This window comes from Homo sapiens, chromosome 3 (genome assembly GCF_000001405.40).
Source record: "Homo sapiens chromosome 3, GRCh38.p14 Primary Assembly".
Lineage (NCBI taxonomy): Eukaryota > Metazoa > Chordata > Mammalia > Primates > Hominidae > Homo > Homo sapiens.
In genome coordinates this window covers 67,659,393-67,674,237 of record NC_000003.12, presented here as the reverse complement: position 1 = coordinate 67,674,237, position 14,845 = coordinate 67,659,393, and the positions used below count along the sequence as shown (strand labels likewise).

Sequence of the window (14,845 nt, the reverse complement as noted above, 5' to 3'; positions counted from 1 at the left end):
CCTCCCACCAGGCCCTGCCTCCAACACTCAAAATCCCAATTCAACATGAGATTTGGGTGAGAACACAGAGCCAAACCACATCACAATTTGACCTCAATTTTGGTTGTATGCTGTGCTTTGAAATCCTTGAATGAAAAGTTGTTGATGAATTCTGAACAAGTCAGAAACTTTAGACTGAAGTTCATGTTGTATCTATCACTTATTAAAAGAAAAAAGTGATTGTATTATTCAATGTCATTAGGCATTAACAAAGGGAAGAAAAGTATAGAGAATATATTACTCACAAGCAAAATTCTTTCTAAATGGAATCCTTTACAATGTATCCCATGAGGCATCTGTAGGTCTTTAGGGACACAAAACAATTTATTGAAACTTCTGTGCAAATTGAAACTCATATTTGGAGCAATGCATTAAGAATGTACAGATTATTTATTCACGCTCTTCTCTGAAGGAATTGCAGATATCACTTTTATTATACAAATGCTCCTTCAGTGATTACAATCCCTTCTCTCTGACACATGGATGAGAAAGGAATAAATGCAAGTGCATAAAAAATGAAACCTGCTCTGATAGATAAATTGCATATATTCAAGAATGAGGAAAATTGTGTGTGCATGTTATCATATTAAAAAAATAAAATATATTTGGAACTCCTTGAGTTTCCTTCCTCAATAATGAGAGGCACAGAATGAGAATGTTCACTTATAGTAATCTTATCAGCACACCATCAGTGAGGCCAGAATGAATGGTAGACATTACTCTTGCAGAAACATGAATAGGATATCATTTTGATATTACTTCTGCAAACACAGCTAGCAAAGCCAATGTTCATTCTAAATTGCTGGTCAAGGTTTCACAAGAGTCACAACAAATAAAGAAAAAATCCTTGCAATTTAACCAGCTTTTACTGGGAGCTGTAATGTACCCAGTCCTTTCCTGGGCACTATCATAAATATAAGAAAAAGATGTTGACATTTTCCAGTGCTAACAGGTGAGGTTGGGTTAATTCTGTACTCCACAATTCCAAGGGAGCTAGCCTGAGAGTTTTTATAGTGTGTAAAACATAGGGTTGAGGCTGGGCATGGTCGCTCACGCCTGTAATCCCAGCACTTTGGGAGGCCAAGGCGGACAGATCACCTGAGGTCAGGAGTTGGAGACCAGCCTGGCCAACATGGTGAAACCCTGTCTCTACTAAAAATACAAAAATTAGCTGGGTGTGGTGGTGGGTGCCGGTAATCCCAGCTACTTGGGAGGCTGAGGCATGAGAATCTCTTAAACCCAGGAGGCAGAGGTTGCAGTGAGCCAAGATCACACCACTGCACTCCAGCCTGGGTGATAGAGCAAGACTGTCTCAAAAAAACCAAAAAAACAAAAATACAAAACATAGGGTTGGGATTCACTCACTTGGGGGCGCAGGGCACCTGACTTTGCCACATAAAGTGTAAACATGGGTAAATTTCTTAACTTTTCAGACTTCATTTATTCATCAAATAAGAATAAAAATACCCACCTCTTATCTTCATTATGGGGATTGAATGGATTAATGTATATAAAATATTTAACCCAATACGCTATAGACGTGCCATGGTGGTTAACGTCTGTCTTTGGCTTTCCCCCATATTAGCCTCTGAGACAGGGATTTTGGTGCAAGAAGTTTATTTGAGAAGTGATCCCAAGACACAGAGGGAGAAAAACTGAGACATGAGACAGAGAAGGAAGATAATAAAGGGTGATTTATTGAGCAGCTGACTGCTGTGGGTAACAGAACCCAACTCACTGGGGGAACTCAAAACAAAGTAGAACAGCTTTAGAATTACCCCTTCCCAGAAGCAAAGGTGCTAAGGTACTTATCTACCAACTTTCTGTTATTGGTTTAGGATTGATTCCTGGAGCATTAACCTTTCTGCACTTCTAGCCTGCCCTGCATGCTGGCCAAGCTTGCTTCCAAAGACAGAGAAATGACCTTAGGTGGAGAGAATTAAAGGGTTTTCAGTAAGCTGACTACAGAGGCAAGCACTTAGGGGATACAGACAGAGCTTCAACAGGATCTTCATGACTAAGACTTTATTTAACTTCCCCATGACTCCTTAGCCTCTAGGCTCTCACTGCTTTATGAGGCTTCTATAATTCAGGTAAAATCTTTCTAATTGTATTCTTTCCATTTGAAAATGTTAGGCCAACAGGATTTGAATGTATACCATCTGGGTTGAGTGGAGTTAGAGCTTTGAACTCGGACATACAGATTTTATAGAGAGTTGGCTTGCTAGATGATCTCAAAGAGTTCACAACTGAATTGGGGAGACTGTACACACACAAGTGAAAACATGTAAGTCAAATGCAATTTAGAAGTTTAAGGCACTAAAGTCAGCGCAATGGCATTTTCTAAGAGGTAAGACAAAGTTTCATCACTGCAAAATCTGCTGAAATTCTTAACGTTTTTCATCTAGTATCATTTGCCATTTTACTTTGAAATTTCAAGGCATCTGAATAGAGCACACTTAGTGTTGATTTGTTAAAGTGTGAGCTGTTTGGCATGATAGTAAAATGGACTAATTGTTCAGTATAGTAGAGTAAAAACGACCAAATTTTGGATACTGAATTCTTCTGGTTTATTATTTTGAAGAGAAAACAGAGAAGAAAATAGGTTATTTCCCAACTGTGGTATAAATACAGCATCAAAGCTGAAAGTAAGCATATAAAATTGGAGAAGCTTTTCTGAATATGTAAGTTGTGCTAATTAGAGTAGATAAAAATCAACTAATGAGTATCTAACTTTGTGTGCAGATCTGTGCTTAGAAAGATGGTGAAGTAAGAAAAAAAACATAGGCTTTACTGAGTTAAAAAACAGAGATCTAAGCTCTGTTTCTTATTAGCTGAGCAATTAGGTAACTTAGTTTCTCTCTCTGAAGTCTAAATGCATCTTCCCTTAAATGGGCATAATAAGACTTACCTCACAGTAGTGTGAAAAGAATATGACAGATAAATGCAACATGACATGTAAAAGTGTTAGAGGCCATCAACAGGTGAACAGACAAACAAATTGTGGTATGTCTTTACAACAGAATGCTACTCAGCAATAAAAAGGAATGAACGACTGATGCAGAAACCAACATGAATTAATCTCAAAATAAATACAACAGACAAAGGAGAGTATATACTCTAGGATTCTATTTATATAACATTTTAGAAAATACATAATAATCTATAGTGATAGAAAGTATATGAGTGATTACCTGAGGATGGAGGAATACGGAGGAGTGACAGGGCACAGGAAACTTCTGGGGTAAGCGAGATGTTCATTATCTTGATTGTGGTGCCGGCTTCATGGATGTATACATATGTCAAAATTTATCACACTGTGCACATTAAATGTGTGCCATTATTGTATGCAAATTATACTACAATAAAGCTGTTGACAAAACAGTATTAGGTGCGCAGTAAATGCAACTGTCCTTTTCTAAGTGTGTGTTTATCGGACCTTAATGCAACTTGCTTGGGGTCAACTTTGGTAAGTCCAAATCAGCTGAAGCTATACAGATTTTGTCTGCCCATCACTTCTTTCTTCTTCAAAAGAGCAACAGGATAGTCCCTCTTTTGGTAAATCTCTCCTCCCTGGCTCAAAAGCATGGTGCTTATTGGGGTTGCCAATCATAGAGACCCAACATTTTGGACACTTAGGAATAGGTGTGTGCAGGGAACACCATGCAGCCCTTTCAGATCCCCTCTACCAAATGCTGTGTGCCCAGCCCCCAACTACTTCTTCCTTTTGCTGCAAAGTTTGTATCTGCAACCTTCTTCAGAGGATTACCTTGGAGCTAACAGGGCTGCCATGCATATAGAGAGCCAGGGTTTACATCCCACTGACCAAGGCAAGCTGTAACCAATGACTGGCACAATGTTGCTTTTGCCCAGCTCCCTTGCTGTGGAAGGGGACAAATTCTGACATGTAATTTATGCTCTAAGCTCTCTGTGGCCCAAGGCTGGCACTTCATCTGAAATTGCAGCTTTGACCAGGAATTTTCTCTTCTTTATCCTGCCTTCATATACCCTTACCATTTTCTACTAAGAAAATTTCCTTAATAAAACCTCTTGTACCTGAATCTGACTTGAAACGGCATGGCAGCCACCTCTTTGGCCACTGAGATTTCCAGGAATACACCTGGGACTCCGGCTGACCTCATGAGGGTCTTTTAGATATTTTGAGACTTGAGCTAGGGCTATCTTTCCTCTTTGGTCATAATGAAGTATGGATGTGACACTGGAGCTCCTAGGTTCCCCACCTTGAGAAAAAACCTACTTTGAAAGGAATGCTAAACAGAGAAACTCACCAGAGATGAAGTGAGAAACTCCTGGTGATGGTTGGGTCCATGATGCCAGATACCTTTAACAACAGCACTCTTTTTCCTTCTGGGGTTGTTCACGCTGACCAATAAATAAAGCATGTATTTTGAGTCATACTCAAATATTTAAAAAATATTTTTCACACTTTTCAATTGTTTTTAGTAGTTTGAATTGATTTTCTTTGGAATACCAAACTCTCCCCTTGCACAGACTGATGAGATGAAATCACAGTGGGGGAATTTGGAGCCTAATTTGGAGCCTAATGAAAGAATCTTAGGTTTCTTTCATTAAAAATTATACTTTTCCACAAGACACAGACAATAACATAAAAACTCATTGTATCAAGGAAAAGCTGATCTTAATGGCACAGGCTAATGCTGATAGTATAAAAATGACTTCCTGAGAAAGTTTAGCTCACAAATGCTCTGAACCCTTACTAAATCAGATGGATAGCAGGACCATTAATGGCTTGGAGAATTTTCAAATTGAAATTTGCTATTTTGTGCAGAATATTAGAATAGTGCTTCATTGGCTTGGCTAAAATCAAACTAATGACATGAGAATTACTATTTTAATTCATTTAATGATTGCTTCATGAGTTAAAACTTTTTGCCTCCCTCTTGTTATAATTTTAAAAAATTAATCCACTCTAAAAGATGAGATATATGAAAATAAAACATTTCATGCAATAATCTTTGTTGTTTTTAGTGGTTTTTTAGTGGAGGGAGGAGATATATCTAGGATTATTAAAGGTCAAAAAGGTGAGATTGGCAATATTAAGTGTTACGGTATTTCTGCTCTAAGAACAAATATTTATAATAGTGGTTCTCAACCAGGGGAGATTTTACTCTTCCTCCCCACCCCCATGTATTAGTCCCTTTTCATACTGCTATGAAGAAATACCCAAGACTGGGTAATTTATAAAGAAAAAGAGGTTGAATGGTCTCACAGTTCCACATGGCTGGGGAGGCCTCACAATCATGGCAGAAGGCAAAAGGCACATCTTACATGGCAGCAGGCAAGAGAGTATGTGCAGGGGAACTGCTCTTTATAAAGCCATCAGATCTTGTGAGACTTACTCACTATCATGAGAATGGCATGGGAAAAACCCACCCCTATAATTCAGTAACTACCCACAACAAGTGGGGATATGGGAGCTACAATTCAAGGTGAGATTTGGGTGGGGACACACCAAAACCATATCATGCTTCTAGGGGATATTTGGCATTACAACATTTAGAAAGATACAGTATCTAGAAAGATTTTTGATTGTCACAAGTGTAAAGGAGGGGGCATTTGCTACTGCATATAATAGTAGAGGCCAGGGATGCTGCTAAATATCCCATTATGCATACGACAGCCCCCCACAACAAAGAATGGTCCAGCCCAAAAGGACAATAGTGCAGAGGGAATGAAATCCTCATTTACACCCTTGCTACCAAATCTTCCCTTTCTTTTACCTCAGAGCTGCACCTCAGAGAAACAAAAGGAACTACTCTAGACTGGAGTCTAAGGTAAAATGTCAATCCTGAAACCTCCTAGCCATGCCATCTAAGGTAAACTACTTTGCTTCTCTGTACGTTTTCCTTCTAATTTTGTAACAGTGCAATAGCACTTACCTCTTAGAGCTATTCAGAGAACGAAATGAGGTAGACACTTCCAGGAAAACTGCTTAGCACAGTGCCTGCACATAACACAGATCCAACACAGCTTAGCCATTTGTTGTTTTTGTTACAACAAGTAGAAGTTTGGGGCAGGTATAGAAGATAAAGCAAGAGGCTGGGCTTGGTGGCTCACACCTGTAATCCTAGCACTTTGGGAGGCCAAGGTGGGTGGATCACTTGTGGTCAGGCGTTCGAGACCAGCCTGGCCAACATGGTGAAACCCTGTATCTGCTAAAAGTATAAAAATTAGCTGAGCTTGGTGCTAAGTACCTGTAATTCCAGCTACTTGGGAGGCTTTGGCAGGAGAATCACTTGAACCTGGGAGGCGGAGGTCGCAGTGAGCAGAGTTCATGTCACTGCACTCCAGCCTAGGCAACAGAGTGAGACTCTGTCTCAAAATAAATAAATAAATAAATATGAAGTAATATTTTCATTGGGCTGTTTTTATTAACCCATATTAATACTAGAGATATTTTATTGTAGCTTAAAAAATAAAACACCAGAATTTCATTCTAAAAATTACTGTATATCTTCTACCACAGACATCCTTACTCCATTCTAAAGCCTTAGCCTCACCTTTCTTTTTAATCCCAAAACCTCTTGTTCTTTCCTCATTCTCAACCTATCCCCATCTTCATCTTTTTTTTTTTTTTTTAATAACTTGAACTTGTCTTAGATTCAGGGGGTGCATGTGCATTCAGGGGTGTCTGTTCCATGGTTATATTGTGTAATGCTGAGGTTTGGGGTATGAAGGATCCCATCAACTAGGTAGTGGGCATAGTACCCAATAGGCAGTTTTTCAGTCCTTGTCCCTTTTCCTCTCTCCCCCTTTAGTAGTCCCCAGTGTCTCTTGTTTCCATCTTTATGTACACGTGTACCCAATACTTAACTCCAACTTACAAGTGAGAACGTGTGCTATTTGGCTTTCCTGTGTTAATTTGCTTAGGATAATGGTCTCCAGCTGTATTCATGTTGCTGCAAAGGAAATGATACTTTTTTATGGCTGCATAGTATTCCATGGTGTACCTGTACCACATTTTCTTTATCCAATCCACCACTGATGGACACCTAGGTTAATTCCATGTCTTTGCTATTGTGAACAGTGCTGTGATGAACTTTAGTTAACTCTTACTTTCCCCTAGCTCTCTCTGCATTCCTGAATTCCACAGGCTTTAAAGCAAAGTTTCAAGTAGGTTATAAGATCAGGCAGTATAAGGTCATGGTCTACAGGGCAAATTTTATCAACATCCTTGCCTTTGTTTCATCTTCTTCTTAAAAAAAATGTTTTTATTTTATTTGACTGCCTTTAGATAGGGCACATACATGTTATCAAGGCTCCCAGGACTCCTTATTCCCTTGTTTGGCTTACTTTATTCATTTAGGTTTCCTTGCTTTGTCTCCTGAAGGCAACTGGGTTTAGATGCTGCAGGAGGTTAGAGACGGAGGATTTGACTGTGAGAAGGACTGAGGAAGGCTACTGGAAAGAGCTAAGCACTGCAGCAGTGAGCTCAGGAAGGTGGTGGAAAGGGCGGCATTCTGGACAGTTCAAAAGCTGTGAATACCTGTGCCAAACTAGAATGTATATGGCCTTTTCTGAGGACAAAGACTATCACAGTCTGGGTAAATAAACCATCAGTGCAGGAGAGCCATTGCAGAGACAGTCAGAAACATATATTTAAACCAGAGGCTCTATAGAATGAAGCATTAGGTGGAAGAATTTGGATTTTACTTGTAGCAACAGAAAGTATTACAGTTAAAAAAAAAAAAAAGGACATGGAAGTAACAAAAGGAAAAGGATCTTTTAATTTTTTTAGAAAAATAGATTTTATTTTTTTCCTATCAATTTGTGTTCATTGTAGAAAGTCTAGAAAATAAAGGAAATGGGTCGGGTGTGGTGGCTCATGCCTGTAATCCCAGCACTTTGGGAGGTCAAGGCAGGTGGATCACGATGTCAGGAGCTCGAGAACTGCCTGACCAACATGGTGAAACCTGGTCTCTACTAAAAACACAAAAATTAGCTGGGCATGGTGGCGTGCACTTGTAATCCCAGCTATTCAGGAGGCTGAGGCAAGAGAATGGCTTGAACCTGGGAGGCAGAGGTTGCAGTGAGCTGAGATCGCGCCACTGCACTCAAGCCTGGGCAACAGAGCGAGACTCCACTTCAAAAAAAAAAAAAAAAAACAAAACAAAAAACAAAAAGAAAAGAAAGGAAAGGAAATCAAAATCACCCCACCCACCTCCTAGCCTTCAAATTATTTATAGTTAACACAAACACGCACACACATGCACACACACTTTTAAAAACAAAATTTAGAGTCATCTATAAAATTTTAGTCTATTTTAAAAATTTGATATATCAACAGTATTTTTCCAGGTTGTTAAAGTTGTTAACTATTTTTTTTAAAATATTGTGTCTGATATAATTGCAAAAGTAAGCAAAGATCTGTGTTCACTGCAACATTATTTGTAAAACCAAAAACCCACTAAATGTAAAAACAATATGAATATACTTTAATAGGAGCAACTGATGACTTCACTAATATTTATTGAGCATCTACTGTGTGCCAGGCACTGTTCTAGCCACTGGGAATGCAATAGCAAACAAAGCAGACAAATTATTTGCACTCATTGAGCTTACATGTCAAAGAGTTTATATTCTGGTGCAGGGGTTAGCAAACTTTTTCTGCAAAGGGCTGCATATTACATGTTTTTAGTTGTATGGTCTCCAGGGCGACTACTGAATGCTACCATTGCAGGTGGAAAGCAGCCATAGACAATACCATGCACTAATGAGTATGGCTGAGTTCCAATAAAACTTTATTTACAAAGATAGGCAGTAGGCTAGATATATATGTAGATACAGATTATAGATATATATATAAATAGAAAATATATGAACAGACAATATATAGATATAATAAATTATTGGACTGGAGGCTTTAAACTATTCTAGGATCTGAATATATTAATAGATTGCCAAATTATTTTAGAAGGATGTAACAATTTAATTTCCACTTCTACCAACAAGTAGAAGAGTGCTCACTGCCTCCACAATTGTACCCACATTGGGCATTTTAATTAATTTATTTAAAAATGTACAACTTTAATAGGCAGTATTATATTTTATTTTGTGTTTCTTCAATGCAATAAGTGAAGTTGGCCATTTTTTTCTTTTTATGGATCAGTTCTATTTTTTTTTCTGAATTGTTTATTCTCATCCTTTTTGTCTATCATTGTGCTTTTTAATTTTTCTTTTTATAAGAGTTTCTAGATACTTAATATTTTCATGTAAAAATTTTACTCTTTCCAACCTCAGCTAGATGAATAAAAATTTTAAAATGAAATTTTACTTTAGTCATCCTCTAGTTTTTTTCCTTGTGGCATTATGAACTTCACTCTTCTGGAAACTCTTGCGTTAACTTTGATCTGAGGTTATTTCAAATTTTTAAGGTAGAATTTCGAAAGGAAACTTGCAGAGGTTTTTAGCTTAGAGATATCTCTACAGGCAGGTTCTTCTTTGTGGTGGCTAAACTCTCTTTAGCTCATGGCCAGCCATTATCTCTGATGGAACTCTGCTAACATTCATTTTGCCTACAATATCAAGAGTTCTCCACATTATTTCAGCCCATGGTTGTAGGAACTGGGGGCCTAACTAGCTCAAAAGCCTAGGATTCTTTGCCCTGCTTTCTTTGCTGAAGTGAGCAGACCTCCTTCAGAAGCTGATCTGCCTCTTTGACTTGGCTTTCAGTCAATTTACTCCTGCCATAATCACGTTTGCTTTTCCAGGAACTTAACAAAGCTTGATATCAGAAGAGGAGAAATCATCATTTGCACCACTTCTATCTACTTCTGCTGTAAAATCTTTTTTTTTTTTTTAACCAAGTATAGGTTCTCTCTGATTTTCTTCTCTTGCTGTCTCTAATCTTTTTATATACATCAATAAAAGCCAACCAAACAAACACTTTCTGGAATGCTTGAGTCTTCTTATGTCTCCACTGAGAAAGTCCCAGGGCAGCATTTTTACAGCTACCTTGCAGGGCCCAGACTGCAAGAATGTTAGAGAATCCATGCTGTGCTAGAAATAATATGGAACACGATACAAGTTAGTAATTGAGGTGGTCAGGAAAACAGGTAGGAATGTAGTTTAGAGCTACAGTTTCAAAACTTTTTTTTTAAATAGCAGAACCTTTTTTCTAACAGTCTCAAATGCTTCTCCTCCTATTCCAGATAAAACACTAATATGAGCTAATATGGTTGGTTGTAAATGAGAGGCAATATAATCTATCCTGACCCCACATTCCCTTGATCCACCCTGGAAGTTATTTGCAGCTCAGAAGGATAGACCCAGCCTCAAGCACCTGAATCTCTTGGCCCTAAGGCTTTATCTAGGTACAGTGGCATGAAATGGCCCATAAGGGAGGCAGGCTGGAGATGAAGAAGGAGTTCAGAGCAGGTGTGAATGCCCCTAGGAGCATCCTTCAACCAAAAAGGCATGAGAGTTGGTGAATAAACATGATCAGTTCCGTGCTCCTCAATGAAACAATTATACAGTGTTTTCCATAAGTCTCTCGAAGGTTTCCAAAAAAACAAACAAACAAACAAACAGAAACCTCAAGTGCCTACAGCATATCAATGTAGTCTTTTACTAGTATTCACCTTCTCCATCTCACCTCCTCAATCCCTCTCCTGCTGTCTAGGATCACCTCTTAAATAATCTCTTTGTATCCAAATCCTTGTTTTAACAACTGCTGTGGGAGAAACCCACTTTAGAAAATGGAATGATGATGCAGAGACTGTACATCAGAATTAGATAGCCCATGTTGACCAGTATGATAGCCACTAGCCATGTGTGGCTATTCAAACTTAAGTATAAATTAAATAAAATCAAATGAAATTAAAAATTGATTTCTTCAGTTGCACCAGCCATACTTCAAATGTTCAATAGCCACATAGCATGATAATGTACAGCACAGATATAGAACATTTTCCTCATTGCAGGAAGTTCTATTGGACAATTCTGGCCTAGAATCAATTCCAGATTGGTTGGAATTGGCCTTCTCCTATTCTTTACATCAGGCCACTTACTCTCTGCTTTAAGACTCAGTTTGTACGTCTGCAAAATAAGTCGGTAGTGAGGATTAAGATAATTTCTGTAAAGCATTTAGAAAGCACCTAAGTGTTCAATAAAAGCAGGGAGAAGGAGAGAGTGAGATGGAGTTCTATGGTGTCCAAGGACTCTGAGGAACTGTACATAAAAACCACTAGTGTAGTGCATCACACAGGGCAGGTTATTTCCCTTCATGGGCCTCCACTTCCTTTCTCACTGGGGACTACTGGCAGATTTCCAGACACTCATGAATCTTTGCATCTTCTTATTAGGGAGATTTTTGCACCAGCTTCATCTTTATTTATTTACCCATCCAGTCAATAGCAGTTGGGCACCTCCTGTCTTCCAGGCACTGTACTGTGGGCAGAATAATAACACTGCAAGAACACGGTCCCTGTCATTGCAGATTTTAAAATCCTGAAGGATGAAGCAGACAAGTAGCAAATGCAGTAACAAACCTCTAATAACCACTGAGATACCCCTAGCTCCCGCTTCAGGGAAGCTTCCTGAAGGGGGTGACTGAAACTCAAAGGATGAGAGAAACTCATGCTGGTGAACAACAGGGAAGGGTGTTTCAGATAGAGGGAAGAGCATAGAGGCATCTTTTGGAGCCTCAGTCCATACTTCTTGCTGGCATGTAGTAAATTAGGTTTTAGAGGGGCTGGGGAAAGTTTGAAGAGGATGGTAGAAGTAGGGGAAGAAAGGGAAGAGAAAATGTGAAAGGTGGGAATGGGATAGCTGCTGATATTCCCTCTAGCTATGCCAAAGTGCTACCTTTGATGCACTGCAACCTCTGCCTCCTGGATTCAAGTGATTCTCCTGCCCCTGCCTCCCAAGTAGCTGGGATTACAGGTGCCTGCCACCATGCCTGGCTAATTTTTGTATTTTCAGTAGAGACGGGATTTCACCATGTTGGCCAGGCAGGTCTTGAACTCCTGACCTCAAGTGATCTGCCAGTGACGGCCTCCCAAAGTGCTGGGATTACAGGCTTGAGCCACCGCGCCCGGCTGATGTTGGTGTTTCTCCAACCATGAAGCATGAACCACCTACAACAAAGACAGTGGAGTAGGGGCATTATTTATAAGAATGCAGATCCTCAAGCCCCAAGACAGACCTACTGAATCAGAACTTCTGGAGAGGATGGCCCAAAGGAATTCTGTTACACACCTAAGCTAAGAACCATGGCCTGTGGCTGGGCACAGTGGCTCTTGCCTGTAATCCCATAGCTTTGGGAGGCTGAGGAGGGAGAATAGCTTGAGTCCAGGAGTTTAAGACCAGCCTGGGCAACATAGTGAGCCCATCTGTATAAAAATATATATTTTTTAATTAGCCGGGTGTGGTGGCACATATATATAGTCCCAGCTACTCTGGAAGCTGAGGTGGGAGGATTGCATGAGCCCAAGAATTCAAAGCTGCAGTGAGCTATGATCATGCCACTGCACTCCAGCCTGGGTGACAGAGCAAGACTCAATCTCAAAAAATAAAAAAGAGAAGAAGAAAAAGAACCACTGCTGTGGCTGCTCACTTTATAATGAGGCAGGACATTTGTAAAAGAATGTTCCTTTAATTTTTACTTTACTGTTTAAAAGAAGCTATCTTAATAATATTGAAGGTGCTGAACTCCGCAGGTTCCAATTGCAATAAGAATTTAGGTTTTGTTTCTAACTTCTTTTCCACAGTCAATCTAATGCTACTTTTCTCTTTCGGTTCAAGAACCTCCACAGTCCTTTGTGTAAATGTTCTTTCCTCAGCTTTTACCATCTTCTTCATCCAGCTCCAAACTTCCTGCCAAAAGAATGTCATCACCCTTGTTTCCACCATTTCATCTTGTTCTCTGTTTTTAGTCTCTTCCACTGACCTTGTCTCCAGCTGGGCCTTCCCTAAGTTAATGATGTTCCTTACTCTTCCTCCTTTCTTATCTTAACTTTGAGCTGTCACCACTGCTCTAAACTTGCTTCCTGTGAATTCTCTCCAGGATGCAGTGAGAATTTCTCTTGAGCACACTTCAGTGTTGGCAAAGGAGACAGTTTTTGTCATAAATCCCTTTTCTTCTAGGCACCTTACATAGTCGTCCCTCACTGTCCATGGAGGACTGATTCCAGGAATTCCCATGGATAATAAAATTCATGGATGCTCAAATCTCTGATATAAAATGACATAATATTTCCATATAACCTATGCACATCTTCCTGTATACTTTAAGTCATTTTTAGATTACTTGTAATACCAAATACAATGTAAATGCTATGAAAATAGTTGCTACACTGTATTTTTTACTTGTATCATTTTTTATTATTGTTATTTTTTATTTTTTCCCCAGAATATTTTCAATCTGCAGTTGGTTGAATCATAGATGTGGAACCCACAGATACAGAGGACCGTCATTTAAATAAAGCTGCTGAGAAATACCATCAAAATTAATCATTTTAACGCATTATTGAAGAGGGAAAAATAACTTGAGCACAATGACCATTCTTTCTGTGCCACTGGCAAACAATACAACTGAATCACTGGTTAAAATGGCTATCACAAATAGCAACAGTGATATTACCTATGCATACAATGAAAGACCAAAAAGTTTAGTCTCCTGTAAATTCCAGAAATCTGTTATCCATTAAAAAATTAACCAGATGAAATCCACAGATGCCCTTTATTTCATCATTGTAATAGTGATTTTCATTCTTGACATGCAGCAGTATGAACTCAAATATGTAATTCATGAAAATTAGGGTTGTTTCTTAAAATATTCTATTCAGCTCTGCTGGTTACAATTAGTATTTGTCAAACAGTTTTTATGCTCAAGTGAAAAGGTAATGATAAAACACCACCAGAACTGCTAGATGCAGTATCCCTTTGCTGGGTTTCATGATATGTCTCTCTGGTAAATCTGCGCCCCTAGAGTAATCAGTGCGAATATGAAAATGAGCACATTATTTCACTGTTAACAGGCACTGCTAAGATGAAAGCGAAGGCATATAGGCCTGCTGATGTTTTTATTTTTCTTTTTGCAACAATTAACTGAATAAGAAACAGTATAGCCAAGGTGCTAGAAATACAAAGCTTAATCGTAGAGTTTTACAACTTCATATTTCAAATGCATGCAGTTTATGAGAAGTGTTACACTGTCAACTCACAGCTCAAATAAGATGTCATACTTGACCTTCATTTTACTAATAGGAAAACTGAGGTTCACAGATGTAAATACTAAAGAAATAAACACACGAAAAAGAGTTCTTAGTCAAATAATGAAGGTATGGTAGGTAACAGCCACTGGGATCTCAAGTGTTTGAGGATGCATCTCATTGGCAAAATAGGTACTATCATAATCCCCTTTCCACAGATCAAGGAATTGAGATTGTTAAGTAACTGGTCCAGGGTCATGGAGCTTTTAAATCACAGAGTCAACACTTGCAATGTCTACCTCTGTGCTTCAGTCTGATATCAGAGTGCAGAATGCTTTCAATAGTGCTATTGCCTATGGCCATAGTTACTGTTCAAGCAGTTCACAATTGCCATTTTGACACAGCAAAAGCGTAGAATAGCTGTTCATTCACCTTAAGCCAATGCTTCTACATGTCGCAGCCGATTTAGACCACGGGTAGAAAATGGGTCTGGTACCAGGTGTCAAGGCTCTCTGAAAGCACCAGTCATCATCTCCATCTATGATTTATCAACTTTTTGTCCTATATTTAGGAACCAAATGGGGGATAGCAGAGTAACTCGTCTTTGGATT

General features: G+C 39.0%; 1 long non-coding RNA gene across 2 annotated transcripts in view; it reads right to left on the bottom strand.

The window, feature by feature from the left end:
• Positions 1-14,845, bottom strand: part of SUCLG2-DT (SUCLG2 divergent transcript) — a 293,017-nt gene that overhangs the window by 273,476 nt on the left and 4,696 nt on the right. The window contains exons 2-3 of one of the 2 annotated variants that reach the window (NR_109992.1): positions 4,329-4,422; positions 3,234-3,409 (exon numbers count right to left, since the gene is read on the bottom strand). This is a non-coding gene — a long non-coding RNA (SUCLG2 divergent transcript). The remainder of the gene's footprint in view (positions 1-3,233; positions 3,410-4,328; positions 4,423-14,845) is intronic. The other variant, NR_109993.1, reaches the window with a different exon arrangement.